Raw genomic sequence first — 17,663 nt, forward strand, 5'->3', positions numbered from 1 at the left:
ATCCATCAGAAAGTCCCAATGGCTCTACTTTTCAAATATCTACAAACTCCAACCATTTTCAGTATCTCCACTGCTACCACCCTAGTCCAAAGCACCATCCTTTCTATTTTTGATCTCCCTGTTTCCACGCCTTACTCACTTTGGTAACTTTCAAAGCAGCAGCCAGCATGATCCTTTTTAAATAAGTCAGATTATACCATTCCTCTGCAGCCTTTTGATCTCACTTCCATGAAAATGTAATGTTCTTTCGACAGCCTACAAGGCCACACATGATCTGGCTCCCAATACGTCCGCTGACTTCTCCCACATGTTCTATGCCCTCACCGTCTCAGCACCAGCAACACTGGCCTCCTTGCTTCCTCAAATATACCAGGTGCACTCCTCACAGTCTTTACACTGCTGGTCCTTTGGCCTGCAATGCTTTTGCTCCAGATATCAGCTTGGCTGTCTCCCTCACCTCCTTCAGACACCTCCTCAACTATCTCCTCAATGAGGCCTTCCCTGACACTGTCCCCTCATCTCTCATTGTGACCCACTCCTGGTCTCTGCCTTTTCTCTTCCCTGTTCCCCTTTTCCCCATAGTACTTATCATTATCATCTAACATACTGTATGTCTTCACTTTTTTAAGAAAAAATTACCTTTTTCTCCACTAGAATGTAAGCATGAGGAGAGCAGGAATTTCTGCCTGTTTAGTTTACTATTATAGCCCTAGCTTCTAGAACTATACTTGAGACATAGACAGCAATCAATACATTCTGTACTTGCTAAATAAATGCATATTGCATTTCTAAATTATTTAAACATATTAATAGACAAGCTCACTGTCTTGAATTTATACCTTTTAAACCTTTAACTTATTTTTCAATTCAATATTAATAAATTAATTACATTGTATTTTAAACAGTAAATTAATCTTTCTGCTCTTAGATGCATTTCATTTACCAATTTACAGATGTAACTGCGCATTTATAATGGAGCAGCTTCCACATATTGACCTTTGGGAAAACCTACTTTCATGACAAGCAAACAGAAAAGACACTTGCAATTGCTGTTGGAACACTGGCAAGCCAATTAGTGCTTCTTTAATTTGCAATTGAATTTATCATAAATTAATCTTAAATAATAATCAATGACAAAATATCTCTCAAAAAATAAAAATAGTTCCAATGTTTGGGGATACTAGAGGGCATAATTGCTTTTGAGGTTCAATTTGCTCTTCCTATGACATTAAACGTAGTTAGCTCTTTTTTTTCCTGGCATCATTAAAATCTCATGATATTCTTCTCTGTATATAATACTGCAGGACTCACTCTCTCCAAATTCAGGTCCTGTTACTTTCATTAGACACTTAACTCGAGATTATTCCCACGACCTAGGCAATTAGACTTCAAACCATCTGCCAGACTCAGCTCAGCTGCATTCTGATTTGCGAGTAAATACTTGCTAGAGACAAATTCTCATGGAGTTCAATGCCCATTGCTTGATGAGCTCTTTGAAGAGAGTGCCAGAGTCAACAAAACAGAGGGAAGCCCTCCAGCTTGTAGCTTTCTATCCATATGGCTACATCCACAAGTGATTTCAGACCCCTTCATCACCCATAACAACTCTTTATATTCTTCTTACTCAGAAAAAAAAAAAAATACTACATGTTGACAGGTTTATTTTAGGAAAGAAGGTACACACTATTTAAAAATCCTGGATTTGAAGTAACCAAATAAAACTTTGGGTGAGTGGGAAAAAATACAGCCTCAAATAACTTAAAATGATTCCTGACTTGTTGAGTTTGAGGATCTCTTCAGACTGAGATTTATTCTCCGACAACTCCAGAATTGGGAGACTATCAAATGTGGCTCAGTACTCAACAAGTATTTGTTCCAAGCTCTTGCACAGTTCTGTGTGCTAAATACAGTAGTGATTAAAAGTTAAAGATGAAGCATTACACCTAAGATTTTATTTTCTCTCCCTCCTGAGATCCCCTTAAAAAGATGAGAAAGGAGTTTTTCCTATTTATACATCCACAAGAATTTTTACTATGCATACATTCACAGAAGACAGGTGAGAGCCCATCCATGGTCTGAAGAGCTACAGAATTCAGAATGAAGAAAAATAGAAAAGAAGGAAGGCAAAACTCACAGTACTCAGAGGGAGCGTAGTCAGAGACTGCTGCCTTGCTCTGTAAAATCTCTGGGAGGAATAGGACTTAGAGGTGATGGGTATGGCATGTGGTAAGAGTAAGACATGGGACTGAAAACAGAAGGGTTAACTGAAAGTTTATATCTGGAAGCATTAATCCTGTACTCTATTTATGCAAAATTCCAACAGCCAAGTACCTCCCCACTAAGCTGAAGAGGTTGAGAAATCCTAAAACAAAAAAGACATTCACATTCTGGCACTTTAGGGTCTACCAACATAATGGCCAGCTCCCTAAACAATTACCCTAAAGCAAAGTCTGCCAACAGAAAAGCACCCTCTTAAATACGAATGTGTGCAACCAGAGATCTCCAGTCAAAGAATGCTCCTAACATGGAAGATCAAAACCAAGATACACAAATGGCGGGGAAATGAGCCTGGAGAAATCAAAGAAATCACAGAAAAGAGAAAGGAACCTTTAACAAAGCAATAATTAAGGACCTGAGATAAATCTGAGAACACATTTCATCCCTATCACTATAACAATCATGATAATAATAATAAAAATAATAGCTAATATTTATTGAGAACACACTAAGAGCTACTGTTCAACAAACTCAAGACAAGGAAACTGCAGCACACAAAGTTTCAGTGACTGATAGTAAGCACAGAAGCCAGGGTTTAAGTCCAGATAGTGTGAATTTAAAACCCATGTTCCTAAACAAAGGGGTATGCTTTCTCAAATATGCTGGTTTTATTTCATTTTATTTTTTATTCTTTTTTATTTTTTATTTTTAGAAGGAGTTTCGCTCTTGTTGCCCAGGCTGGAGTGCAATGGTGCAATCTCGGCTCACCACGACCTCCACTTCCCGGGTTCAAGCGATTTTCTCCTGCCTCAGCCTCCCGAGTAGCTAGGATTACAGGCATGTGCCACCATGCCCGGCTAATTTTGAATTTTTAGTAGATACTGGTTTCTCCATGTTGGTCAGGCTGGTCTCAAACTCCCAACCTCAGGTGATCCACCCGCCTCAGCCTCCCAAAGTGCTGCGATTACAGATGTGAGCCACCGCACCCAACCAAATACGCTGTTTTTAAAAGGAACAGAACACAAGAAAGTGCTCTTAAAAAATCTATTCAGGTATTTAACAAGTATGTGTTTAGAGTCTTCTGTTGGCTAAACACCAGTCTAGGTACCAAAAATACGGCAATAAACAGAACAGGCAGTATTTCAGCTCTCATGAAGCTAAAATTAAAAATTTAGTAGAAGAGATGGAAGATGCACTCAAGGAATTTTACCAGGCAATTTAATAAAAGTAATAGGAGAAAATTCCAAGAAAAAATGGAGATATGTCTGATGGACCAGGAGGTGCCTTTTCCTCTTATTAAGAATTCCAGAGACAAAACAGATAAAATGAGAATAAGTTATCCCATAAACAATACAAGAAAATTTCCTAGCAGTGAAGAACAAAGGTCTTCAGATTGAAGGGGCCTGTCTTCCCCCAGTGCCCATTATAATAAATGGAAAAAGATTCCTATCAAGGTACACCTTCATGAAATGTCACACCAGGGATAAAGAGAAGGTCTGAGAAGCTTCCAGAAGTAATAACAAGTCAATGACCAAAGAATAAGAATTTGAATGGGGTCATACTTACCAAAAGCATCAATGGGTGCTAGAATATGATAAAGCCTTTAAAATTCTGAAGAAAGGCGATTTGCAACCTTAAATTTTATAGCCAGCTAAAGTACCAATTGAATATAAGGGTAGAAAAAAATAAGGTCATTTTCAGACATGCAAAGACTCAGAAAATATCTCCTTCACACAGCCTAAGAAATTACTTGAAAATGTGCTCTAGGAGAGAAAATCAAGAAAAAAGATGACACAAGATTCAGAAAGAGACTCCCACTGGGGAGAGGGGAAATAGTCTCCTAAGAAGCTTGAACTTCATTCTGTAGATATTAAAGGAGGCATGGATTTCAAGCTGGAAAGCAATATAAGATCTGTGTTTTAGAAAGGACATTCTTTCCTAAGTCTTTCCTAATGTCCTTTAGAAAAAACATTCTTTCCTAAGTTCCTAAAATCAGAATAGTGGAAGATTTCTGAGACCAGTCACAAAGTTTTTGCAAAACTCAGGTGAAATGTAGTTCAGACCTAAACTAAGGTGGTAGCAATGAGAACCATGAAATTGTAGATGTGCAACAGCTGGGCTCACATCTGATTGGGGTGGGGGGTTCTTAGCACAATTTCATGTTGTTGTAAATATTCACGGCATGAACGTAGGGCAAGGGCAAGAGAGACTCCACAAGGACATCGAAGCTTCAAGCCCTGGAAAGTGGTAGATGGAAGACAAGAAATAAAGACATTCCAGTAAGCTTCAAGGCAAGAATCATTCTATTTGAGATATTTTGAGTGGAGAGGCAGTGCTAGATCCATAGAGAAGTACAGAGGAGCTCCTACCTTTCTGTCTGATAGCAACCAGACTGTCTGATTAAAACTGCAGATCACTGCAAGGGTGGTTAAATCAAAAAAGAAAAAAGGCAGTTGTTCCCCCTGCTTGACCCTGAAAGTGCAGAGATAGTGTGGGTGGACTGCACAGGAACACTTAAGGTGCAGCATGCCTAATGGATACTTAGAACGATGACAAGTGAGGATTAAGATGTCTTCAAGTATAATAGATTCTAATTTTGTCTGTAAGTGGCCTTAGAGCTCTGAGATGAGACTACAGAGGTAGTCCAGTGCTAGATCTGCAAGACCTTAAAGGGCATGGTAGGAAGCGTGGATGTTATTCATGGTACGTTGAGAAGTCACTGTAGGCCTTTAGGCAGGAAAGTGACATTACTCAATTCATATGTTATGATTACTCTGGCTACTATGTGAGGAATGGATTGAAAAAGAATAAAAGTGGACAGGAAAGATATTTCAGTAAGAGATAATGTTAGCTTGGACTAGAAAGCTTACACTGGAGATGCAAATACGTGGATTTGAGATTCCTTTGGAGTTCAGAATCATAGGTGTTTTGCAAGATTAAATGTGGATGGGACAATGGTCTTGAGGAAATCCAACATTCCTCAAGGTTACTAATTTGAGCAATCAAGTGGATGAGAGTGTCAATTACCATGTTGGGGGGAAATAGAGGAGGAGCAGGTTGAGCTAAGGGCAAAGGATGAAAAGATAAGTTTTGAAAGGCCCTATTAAGTTGGAGACGCCTGTGAGGCATCCAGGTGGAGATATCAAATAAGCAGTTGGATATACAAGTTGAGGTCTGGACTGGAGCTGTATTTGCCAACTTCATTGCTTTTGGCTTCAGCTCAGATAAACTTCAAATTGGGACAAGGAGGAAATTAACAATTATTGAGCACCTACCATATGCCAAGCACCCACATTTCCCAACATCTACTTTCTCCTTGCCTGCCCAAGCACCCTCCCAGTTCAGCCCGAGTGGGACCTAACTTAGAGGCCACCTGGGATATGTCATTACATATACTCAGACAAACTTTGGAATCTTCCCTCCCAGATTCCTAATGAGTCCATGGAGACTTACTGCACCTGGATCTGTGTTCAAAGACTCCAAAGACCTGAAAGTGAAGACTAGCTCCTGGGACACTGAAGCTGAGAACTCCAGACCCAAATGATACTTATGACTCCACCCTTGGTTCACTGTATCTTTTTGGACACAACATCCCTTATTTCTTTGTCTGAATTTTAGTATCTGCCCGCTTCATAAAAATGCTTTGAGAATTGAAACCAGCTTCTGAATCACCTGGAGAGCATCTTAAATAATGCAGATTCCCAGCCTCCACAAACAGAGATTATAATTCATTTGGTCTGGAATGTGTCTCAATCTGTATTACAGGTGATTCTGATGCTGGTCCAGAGTGATCCCTGGACTAGAAATGCTGATTTGCAGAGTGATAAACTGCCAGTTTTTCCCCAAATTATCTGCCTCAATGCTGTCTCCATCACTTAGAACATTAGGGCAGTTTTAAAAGAAGGCACCGAATTCTTTGACACTCTTCCCATTAAGAGGTGGACTGTATGTCCTCTGCCCTTGAATTTGATAGTTCTCTTAGAATCTGGCTGACATAATGTGGGAAGGTCAAGCCACATGGAGTAGCCACAGCAACAGTCCCAGCTGAGCTCAGTCTTTGAGTCACCTCAGCCCTGGCACCAGACATGCCAGTGAAGGAAATTGCAGATAATCCCAACCCCCAGGCATTGAGTCATCCCAGACTCCAGATCTTCCCAGCTGACGCCCCAGACATCACAGAACAGAGACAACCTATCCCCACCATTCCCTGTTCAAATTAATGATCCATAAAACCTATGCTCATAATAAAAAGATTGTTGCTTTATGCCACTTAGTTTTGGGGTGTTTTGTCACGCAGTAACTGAAATAATTACTAACATGTTTTCTCAAGAAATATGTATTAAAATGCAAACACATTACTTGGATGAACTCTTTCAGATGAACACACACAATCAGTGTATCTAGCAGACAACAAAGCAGGGAAATGAGCCATGAGATGCTCTCCCGTTTCACTGACGTGAAAGCATCACTGGGAAAGGCAACCTAAGATGCTTCCAGAAAGCTGGAATTGAAAGATGGCCACACCTTGAAGACAGCATGGCTAAAAGAGAAAGACATGCCTCAAAAAGGACGGATGAGGCCAGAGAGCAAACCCAGATTCATTTTCTTCACAACTGTGCTTAAGTCTGGCTCAAAAGTCCCTCCACTCTCTCACTAACCGCAAAGGTGTTTATTTATGCCAGTTTATAAATGTCTAATGTTAAAAATCACCTGGGAATAATACAGGAACAAGCGCCAAGGGTAATTTTTTTTTTTTTTTTTTTTTGAGACAGAGTCTCACTTTGTCACCCAGGCTGGAGTACAATGGCGTGGTCTCAGCTCACTGCAACTTCCGCCTCCCAGGTTGAAGTGATTCTCCCGCCTCAGCCTCCTGAGTAGCTGGGACTACAGGCACGTGCCACCATACCCGGCTAATTTTTGTGTTTTTAGTAGAGATGGGGTTTCACTATGTTGGCCATGCTGGTCTTGAACTCCTGACCTCGTGATCCGCCCGCCTCAGCCTACCAAAGTGCTGGGATTACAGGCGTGAGCTACCGCACCCAGCAGCACCAAGGGTAATTCTTACCAGCAGACCAGTTTGGAAAATGCTAGATTATATATTTTTTTAATTAAATACAAAACAAAATAGCAACTGCACCAACCCTTTCCTCACAAGAGTAACAGTCCTGTGGTGAGAATGGGGTTAATACATGAGCTTTAAGTTCTGACGGCCTTGAACCTTGAGAATGTAAACCCCAGCTAAGTCCAATTACAACGATGTGGGGGGAGGAAATGGAAAATAATGGAATTCACTAGCTAATTGGATACTATTAATTATATTAAATATTTTAAATGGAATTATCTTCTATGAGGAATATTTTAATTGACAAAATATAAAATAGGAGGGATATTAGGTTAAATATTCATGGCCTTATTCAAGCTATTAATGGTGCCAATAAAAATGATGGAGCAAGACATGGAACCTGGACTCTCTGGGATTCAGAAAAGAGCAGAGAATGCCACACTAATGCCACGAATTCATTCTATTTTAGTAACTAACACTGATGTCTACATGTTCCCAGCCTGACCACCACCCCCCTCACCCCATTGTTCTCAGAAGTGATTTGAATCTGATTTCACATTGTTAATATCAACACTTGAGTTTTCTTTCCAAGAATCAATTTACAGTCTTCTAAAGACACTGGAGTGGCGGGGGATGGGGGGAAATGTTGTCAGTCATGAATTCCCAATGTAACTGGTTATGACTCTGAGGTCTGCATCATTATCAGATTTTCATGATACTGATGTTGATTCATATCAGTGAGCAGTTTATCAGTCCCCAAACTCTAGTCCCCACAGCAGCTGATAGCAAAGTAGTCCCCTTCGTCTCTGTTCTACTTCATTTCTCTTGCCTCTTGAGACCCTTTCATAGTCACATGGTGGCATGTTGCAGAGTAAAATTGACATCTCTCTCTGATTCCAAGAGTTTGCATGTATTGTGATGGATAGAATAAAATGACTGTGGAAATAGCATTTGTACTACTGGATACTGGAATTCCAAGGAGTTCCTATAACACAGGCTTAGAAGCCTAATATCCATCCCTCCTTAGACCAGAAGCTCAGCTTATGTACTCAGTAGAAGAAAGGAGCATATCATCTCCCAATTAACCTCAGGCCTGTTTGAGTTTCTGGCCAAGGCTGAGAAGGCCCTGGCTGCTCACTGCCTCTCTGCATTTTTCTGTTCTCTGCCTCCCAGGGACGTGTCTCAAACCAGTGTCACTGCCCTTCCATCCAAAGGCCTGGAGCACCTGAAGGAACTGATAGCAAGAAACACCTGGACTCTTAAGAAACTTCCACTTTCCTTGAGTTTCCTTCACCTCACACGGGCTGACCTTTCTTACCCAAGCCACTGCTGTGCTTTTAAGAATCAGAAGAAAATCAGAGGGTAAGTGGCAGGGACCCGGCATAAGTGACAAAAGACCTTGGTGGAAGTGGAATTCATTTCTTGGTTTTGGGGAAGATGCTTCCTGGTTTGAAAACCAGGTGGAGAGGAAATTGGAAGCATCCATATGAAACAGGAAATCCATGGGACACAGTGACCCTGCGGACCCAAAGTGGGTGCAGCTGAGAAATAAGGCAATTGCTGCTGGATAGCGGTAGAGCAGAGGAGGTGACAGATGGCACAGGAGAGAGAAACACAACCAGATCTCATAGAATCTTGTAGAGGTTATGTAGATATGATGTCCGGTTTCCAGGTACAATTCAGAATTAGATACTGCAACACATATTAGACCCCAGACACCACAACCATGAGAACAGACTTATAAACAACACAAACAGTTGGGTTACCTGATTGGTTTGGGCCTTGCAAATGTCATAGCTCCCTGGTTACATGCCTGCAGGCTTTGGAGTCAGCTGGGTTTATACCGCAGCTCTGCCATTTTTCAAGCTGTGTTATCCCAGCCTAGTTACTTAACCACTCTGAGTCTTTGGGAATGGAGATCCTAATACTAACATTCATAGCAGTTTTGAGAAGATTAAATGAGAAACTGAATGGAAAACACTGGAATGGAATGGCCTGGAATATTATAAGATCTTCATTAATATTAACTATGATATACAGTATGTGCACATCAGGCTGCTTATGAGCCTGCGAAGGAGGAATTGCCTTCATTTTCTCTCCAGGCTTTCTCTGATTCTTTTACTTTTTTGCTTTTACTCTGCATTATTTCCCCCATTGTGTCTTGTACAATCTCCTGTTCTCCTAATCCACCTTCATCATCTCTATTCAGTCCTCCTCAGCTTCTATGTATTTAGTGATTGACTTACTACACACATAATTGCAGTCAGGAAAATATCAGATCTAGGTGTGAGGGCAGAAGCTAAAACAGCCATACAAAGAAGGCCAATATGGTGGCCGGGCACAGTGGCTCACGCCTGTAATCCCAGCACTTTGGGAGGCTGAGATGGCCAGATCATCTGAGGTCAGGAGTTCGAGACCGGCCAGGCCAACATGGTGAAACCCCGTCTGTACTAAAAATACAAAAAACAAAATTAGCCAGATGTGGTGGTGGGTTCCTGTAATCCCAGCTACTGGAGAGGCTGAGGCAGAAGAATTGCTTGAACCCGGTAGGCGGAGGTTGCAGTGAGCCGAGATCGTGCCAGTGCACTCCAGCCTGGGCAACAAAGCAAGATTCTGAGATTCCATCACACACAGGCACATGCACACACACACACAAAGAAGGCCAATATGGGCATCATAGCTGCAAAAAGCCAGGAGTGGGGTAGAGGATGGTGATAGTGGACTCTACACTGATGCCATGCGGCATTGAGAAGGACTGGACAAGGGCTGGGTGGGAGGCTTAAGTGGACCTCAGGGGCAGGGTCTAGATTTTTCCCTAGCCTCCAGTTGAGAAGAGCAAGTCCATTGGACATTTTAAGCAGAACCCAAGAGATCACTCAAACTCTGCTCAGCAGCTGAGGCAAGTTAAAGAATCCCTTTTGTTGTGAGTCTGGTGAGCAAGGAAAAAACTAAATCTTATTTCCACAAGCATGCCTGTATGGTAGTGTCCATTTGTTCATTTGTTAAACAGATATTTACTGAGCACCTTCTATGTGCCTGGCTGTTGTAAATAGAACAGACAAGAATTCCCTCTTGTATTTTGCTTACTGTCTAATGGAGGAAGTCAGAAAATAAACAGGCTGGCCGGGGGCAGTGGCTCACTTCTGTAATCCTAGCACTTTGGGAGGCAGAGGTGGGCGGATCACTTGAGGTCAAGAGTTCAAGCCCAGCCTGGCCAACATGGTGAAACCCTGTATCTACTAAAAATACATAAATGTTTTATTTTTAAAATATTCAGTTTGAAACTAAATAATGATGAGTAGAGGCAGCCATGGGTTTTTCAGGCAATGGGAACATAGGGTTTTAGAGCTTTGAATAGGAATAATAATAACAATAACCACCATATGGCACTCACAAAGCTGCAGGTGCTATTGTAAGAGCCTTAAAAAGATAAATTCATTGAATCCTTTAATAACCCTATATGAAATAGTCACTCCCATTGTCCCATGTTACAAATGAGTTAACCAAACTTCATGGGCCTACCCAAGCTAGTCAATAATTGAGCCAGGTTCCCACCAAGGCGACTGGCTCCAGCATCCACATTTTTTTTTTAAACAGAGTCTCACTCTGTCGCCACTCAGCCTGGAATGCAGTGGCGCAATCTTGACTCACTGCAACCTCCACCTCCCAGGTTTAAGCGATTCTCCTGCCTCAGCCTCCCAAGTAGCTGGAATTACAGGCACGTGCCACTACGCCTGGCTAATTTTTGGATTTTCAGTAGAGATGGGGTTTCACCATGTTGGCCAGGCTGGTTCAAGCTCCTGACCTCAAGTGATGTGCCTGCCTTGGCCTCCCAAAGTGCTGGGATTGAGTCACTACAGGTGTGAGCCAGCACACTTGGCCACTTTTTTTTTTTTAATCACTGTTCTTGAAGTGGTTGCAGAAGAGAAATAAGACCAATGCCACTGGAGCACAGTAGGGGAGGGGAGGTCATAGGAATGATGTCACAGAAACAGGCCTGCCTGGATCCTGTAGAACCTTATAGAATTATGTACATCATAGTAAGTAGTTTGCACATTTTCATAAATGTGGGAACCATTCGTGGGTTTTAAACAAGCATTCTTTTTTTTTTTTTTTTTTTTGAGACAGGGTCTCACTCTGTCATCCAGGCTAGAGTATAGTGGCCTGATCTCGCCTCACTGCAGCTTTGACCTCCCCAGGCTCAGGTGATTTTCCCACCTCAGCCTCCCGAGTAGCTACGACCATAGGCACATACCACCATGCCCAGCCAATGTTTGCATTTTTTATAGAGATGGGATTTCACCATGTTGCCCAGGCTGGTCTCAAACTCCTAGGCTCAAGCAATCCACCTGCCTTGGCCTCCCAAAGTGCTGGGATTACAGTCATGAGCCACTGCGCCCAGCCTGGCACTGACTCTTTTCTGTTGCCTTGCAGAATCCTTGAGTCCTTGATGTGTAATGAGAGCAGTATGCAGAGCTTGCGCCAGAGAAAATCTGTGAATGCCTTGAATAGCCCCCTCCACCAGGAATATGAAGAGAATCTGGGTGACAGCATTGTTGGGTACAAGGAAAAGTCCAAGTTCCAGGATACTCATAACAACGCTCATTATTACGTCTTCTTTGAAGAACAAGAGGATGAGATCATTGGTTTTGGCCAGGAGCTCAAAAACCCCCAGGAAGAGACTCTACAAGCTTTTGACAGCCATTATGACTACACCATATGTGGGGACAGTGAAGACATGGTGTGTACCCCCAAGTCCGATGAGTTCAACCCGTGTGAAGACATAATGGGCTACAAGTTCCTGAGAATTGTGGTGTGGTTCGTTAGTCTGCTGGCTCTCCTGGGCAATGTCTTTGTCCTGCTTATTCTCCTCACCAGCCACTACAAACTGAACGTCCCCCGCTTTCTCATGTGCAACCTGGCCTTTGCGGATTTCTGCATGGGGATGTACCTGCTCCTCATCGCCTCTGTAGACCTCTACACTCACTCTGAGTACTACAACCATGCCATCGACTGGCAGACAGGCCCTGGGTGCAACACGGCTGGTTTCTTCACTGTCTTTGCAAGCGAGTTATCGGTGTATACGCTGACGGTCATCACCCTGGAGCGCTGGTATGCCATCACCTTCGCCATGCGCCTGGACCGGAAGATCCGCCTCAGGCACGCATGTGCCATCATGGTTGGGGGCTGGGTTTGCTGCTTCCTTCTCGCCCTGCTTCCTTTGGTGGGAATAAGTAGCTATGCCAAAGTCAGTATCTGCCTGCCCATGGACACCGAGACCCCTCTTGCTCTGGCATATATTGTTTTTGTTCTGACGCTCAACATAGTTGCCTTCGTCATCGTCTGCTGCTGTTATGTGAAGATCTACATCACAGTCCGAAATCCGCAGTACAACCCAGGGGACAAAGATACCAAAATTGCCAAGAGGATGGCTGTGTTGATCTTCACCGACTTCATATGCATGGCCCCAATCTCATTCTATGCTCTGTCAGCAATTCTGAACAAGCCTCTCATCACTGTTAGCAACTCCAAAATCTTGCTGGTACTCTTCTATCCACTTAACTCCTGTGCCAATCCATTCCTCTATGCTATTTTCACCAAGGCCTTCCAGAGGGATGTGTTCATCCTACTCAGCAAGTTTGGCATCTGTAAACGCCAGGCTCAGGCATACCGGGGGCAGAGGGTTCCTCCAAAGAACAGCACTGATATTCAGGTTCAAAAGGTTACCCACGAGATGAGGCAGGGTCTCCACAACATGGAAGATGTCTATGAACTGATTGAAAACTCCCATCTAACCCCAAAGAAGCAAGGCCAAATCTCAGAAGAGTATATGCAAACGGTTTTGTAAGTTAACACTACACTACTCACAATGGTAGGGGAACTTACAAAATAATAGTTTCTTGAATATGCATTCCAATCCCATGACACCCCCAACACATAGCTGCCCTCACTCTTGTGCAGGCGATGTTTCAATGTTTCATGGGGCAAGAGTTTATCTCTGGAGAGTGATTAGTATTAACCTAATCATTGCCCCCAAGAAGGAAGTTAGGCTACCAGCATATTTGAATGCCAGGTGAAATCAAAATAATCTACACTATCTAGAAGACTTTCTTGATGCCAAGTCCAGAGATGTCATTGTGTAGGATGTTCAGTAAATATTAACTGAGCTATGTCAATATAGAGCTTCTCAGTTTTGTATAACATTTCATACTAAAGATTCAGCAAATGGAAAATGCTATTAATTTGGTTGGTGACCACAAGATAAAATCAGTCCCACGTTGGCTCAGTTCAACTAGATGTTCCCTGATACAAAGAGAACTTGATTTCCTTAAAACTGAAAAGCCAAACACAGCTAGCTGTCATACAAGAAACAGCTATTATGAGACATGAAGGAGGGTAAGAATTAGCTTTAAGTTTTGTTTTGCTTTGTTTTGTTTTTTAACTCAACCTATTAATCATCTCTTCACAAGAATCCACCTGATGTGACCAAGCTATTATGTGTTGCCTGGAAAAACTGGCAAGATTTCAGCTTATGTGGCCTAGCAAACTAAGAATTGCTCTTCTTGGCCAGCCTCATAGCATAAAAGATGTGAACTCTAGGAAGTCTTTCTGAGTAGCAATAAGTGGGAATTATGGGCAGAGCACACTCAATCCCCTGTTGATTAATAAAACAGGCTGGACACTAATTAACTATGGGACTTAAATCTGTAGAAATGAAGGAGTCCAATAGCTTCTTCCAATTTTAAAACTCTAGTACATCCCTTTCCCTCAAATATATATTTCTAAGATAAAGAGAAAGAAGAGCACTAAGTAAGTAGAATCTGTTTTTCCTATTTTGTAGGGCTGCTGACTCCTAGTCCTTGAAGCCTAGACACATGACCCAGGAAATTTTTCCTTTGTTTCACTTTTGATTATGATGTCTGAGCCAAAAATTCAATTAAGTAAACATACTCGCCTGGATCTGAATCATTCATTTAATTACTAGATCTACCCAGCTGTTATATCAGGCCAAAAACAGATTCGTGTTTATATAAAAGAGTAAACGATGGTTGCAAATTTTGGCTATTTAGAGTTGCTACTTCACTATGAAGAGTCACTTCAAAACACTTCGCTTGTCTTTAGGGATGATTTTTGCCATTTCCAGTCCACGGTATGATACTAAAGCTGTCAAGAGAGGTTTCTTCTTTTCTGAAACTGCCAGCTCTTTCCAGCCCTGTTGATCACTGGACATAAAGCTTCTTTTCCCCAATAATTCTTCTTTACTTAAAATAGTCAGGATCTTTATCTACAGATGTACTCTCCAGGTTACCTGTGATGATAGCCCCCTAATGTCCTGCTAGAAAAGTCTCCAAGCAGAGATGACATTACTTCTGAATGCTCATAAACCACACCATGAAATAAAAGCTCTTTGTTGTTTTAAGATTGTGAAGTGTCGTTAATGGGTCCCCACAGATGGTCCCTGCTGGACTCACCTGGAATCTCTCCACAGCCATACCCACTCATCACTATCATTGAGACCTGCACATCTTAATAGAAATATTATAAACATCGAAAATCATGACTTACCTAGAAGTTCGCTTGTAACTAATGAAATTAAACAAATGTGTTGCCTTTTGTCATGTGTTTCTCTCCTGTGACATTTCAAAATATCACATCTTGATAAATAATGTGTTTCATCTTGAATAGCTGAACTAATTGCTTTGGAAACAGAGTCCTAGAAAAGTGACTTCAACAGAATTGTTACTAAAATTTGCACTCACAACATGAAATAAATTTTCTTCCTATGGAATAATCGTGCCAAGTCCTAGAGTGTTGTTCTTTTTTGTTAATCTGTGAGTTTCTTTCGGGGTTACTATTGTATGTGTTAAAACTGAAGACAAGAAAACTAATTGGCACATTTGCTAATGAATCCATATTAATAAATAAGTTGTTGACTGTCAATTAATAACTTAAATATAACATTGTGTCTTGATCAAAAGTGGTCTTTATGTGGAAAAACTTACTCCTGGTGAACTGAATTATGATTAATTGACAGGGATCACTAAGAGAAAAAACAATAAAACCAAATATATCAAGCAAATGATTGGTATTGACACTAGAAATTTAAATAGTGTGCTAATGAAGACAATAAACCTCTAAGGCCTCAGAGGCCTTATTATTATTCAGAGCTCATGTTATCTAGCACCTTTCAATTATCTGAAGATAAACCCAAATCATTGAGGATAAATGGCCACAGACTAGTCGCAGTGGAGGTCACACAATTCATTCTCTAAAGCTCATGCATGTTTCTCAAAAGGCTGTCTCTTAAAACACCCCCAAAGTTTATTGACTCTTGCTTTAAGGATAATCTACTGCATCAAAGAAGCAGCCAATGAGGAGAGGGTCTTACAGGGCAGCACCATGAGAGTGGCAATAAAGTAAAAGTCAGGGCAAAAAGAAGAAAACTATAACCACAATACTTTTTTAAAACAATAGAAGTTTGAGAACAAATGCTCCTACTTTAGGAGAAAACTGTTTCATAACATAATTGAGTGATTCTCATTCATTCTGAGTACCTAAAGGGTGCCAGAGAAACTTGTTGGCATCACTGCATTCTGTTTTAAAAGCTATAAAAGTTCCAGCTCCAAGTGGTAGACTGACTTTCTTTCAAATCCCACTGACATGACAGGGAAGAAATTTAAAATGAGACCAAGCCAAAACTGCATGGTGAACAGGAGAAATAGAACCACCAGCAAAGCAAACGTGTTGATAGCTTTCTGAAAGATGGAAGGTGTATGGCCTTGAGTTGATGGTAACTAACTGTACAGGAGGTTACAGCCTAGAACACTGACAGGATAAGGCTGCAGCTACAGAAGAATATACTTCCCTGCAGAGTCCCAGTGAGCCTGCCAAGCCTGAAGGTTACAGGACTGAGGGTTAATTAGGGCAATTAATTGAAAGTCTGTGTCACTTGGACCCTCCAATCTGCCATCACTCCATTCATAGAATAACTGACATATGCAGTGTTTGCTGCAATTAATATCTCAAAGAAAGTGAATGATTCCTGTAAACAGGGAACTCCTCCCACTGGCCCACTTCCTGCCCTCACACATAAGTGAAGCCTGATCATTGAGGCGTTACCATCAGCACCCCCCACCACCCCCACCTGAAGTCAGGGAGAAACATCTTGGGGAAAATGATCTATACAATCTGCTGACATTAGCTATTCTCATTCTTCACTCAAAAATATAAAGAAGACACAATAATTGCCAGACATTTGAGAGAAATAAACTGCACATCAATAGCACACAGACACAGAGACACACACACACACACAAGGCCAGAATGTACAAAAGAACATTTCTCCAGAGAAAATAGATCATTCATAAACAGAATATTGTTGTTTAATTTCACTTAATAACTTCAGAGAAATTGGAGAGAATGTCAGACCCAAAAACAATCAAAATTACTATTAAAACAATAGTAGTAATCAAAAATTAGAAAGAGTTTTGGAAAATTTTAAATGAGATTGCCAAAGCAAGAGCTTTACCAGAAGGAGTGGAAGTTAAAGTGAGGAAATTTCTTGGGATGTTGAACAAGTAAACAAAGGTGTGAAATATAAGACAAAAGTTAAAAGATGCAGAGGATCCGTCTCCAGGCCAAACATCTGTCCAAGAGGAGTCCTAAGGAAAACGTAGAAGGCATAATCATCAAGGAAACAGAAGGAGAAAATTTTCCAAAGCTGGTAAAGATTGATAGTGTCCACTTAGTGCAAAAGGTGATGAATGAAAAGGCACATGGGCAGAACAGCACTTATAAAATGTCAGAACACCAAAAGTAAAAGGCAAACCTTAAATGCTTGAGGGAGAATCAAGAAAGAAAAGTAGACATTGGAAAAGATATTAATAACAGTATAAACTAGAAGACAACAGAGCGACATCATCAATGCCTCCAGAATAAAAAAAAAAAATACTGGAGTTGAAGATCTGAATATAACCTTTCATCCCCCAGAAACTTAGCCACTAATAGCCTACTGATCGCTAGAAGCCTTACCAATAACGTAAACAGTTGATTAACACATATTTTGTATATGTATAACATACTATGTTCTTACAATAAAGCGAGTTAGAGAAAAGAAAATGTTATTAAGAAAATCATAAGGACAGAAAATATATTTACTATTAATTAAGTGGAAGTGGATCACCATAAAGGTCTTCATCGTCTTCACACTGAGCAGGCTGAGGAGGAGGAGGAAGAGGAGGGGTTGGTCTTGCTGTCTCAGGGGTAGCAGAGGTAGAAAAAAATCTGCCTGTAAGTAGACCCACGCAGTTCAAACCCGTATTGTTCAAAGGTCACTTGTAATTTCCTAATCTTCATTATATGCAGCCAAAAGATATGATGTCTA

At 41.3% G+C, this 17,663-nt stretch overlaps 1 protein-coding gene and 1 long non-coding RNA gene across 9 annotated transcripts in view; one reads left to right on the plus strand and one right to left on the minus strand.

The window, feature by feature from the left end:
* Window positions 1-15,080, plus strand: part of TSHR (thyroid stimulating hormone receptor) — a 190,686-nt gene extending 175,606 nt beyond the window's left edge. For both annotated transcript variants that reach the window (NM_000369.5, XM_011537119.3), the window contains 2 exons: window positions 8,453-8,641; window positions 11,714-15,080. In NM_000369.5, coding sequence (NP_000360.2) covers window positions 8,453-8,641; window positions 11,714-13,127 — 1,603 coding nt within the window. In that variant the 3' untranslated portion in view covers window positions 13,128-15,080. The remainder of the gene's footprint in view (window positions 1-8,452; window positions 8,642-11,713) is intronic.
* TSHR-AS1 (TSHR antisense RNA 1) overlaps window positions 1-17,663 on the minus strand; it is a 156,341-nt gene that overhangs the window by 117,161 nt on the left and 21,517 nt on the right. The gene's annotated exons all lie outside the window — the stretch shown is intronic.

The sequence above is a fragment of the Homo sapiens genome, chromosome 14, assembly GCF_000001405.40.
Source record: "Homo sapiens chromosome 14, GRCh38.p14 Primary Assembly".
NCBI classification, from domain to species: domain Eukaryota; kingdom Metazoa; phylum Chordata; class Mammalia; order Primates; family Hominidae; genus Homo; species Homo sapiens.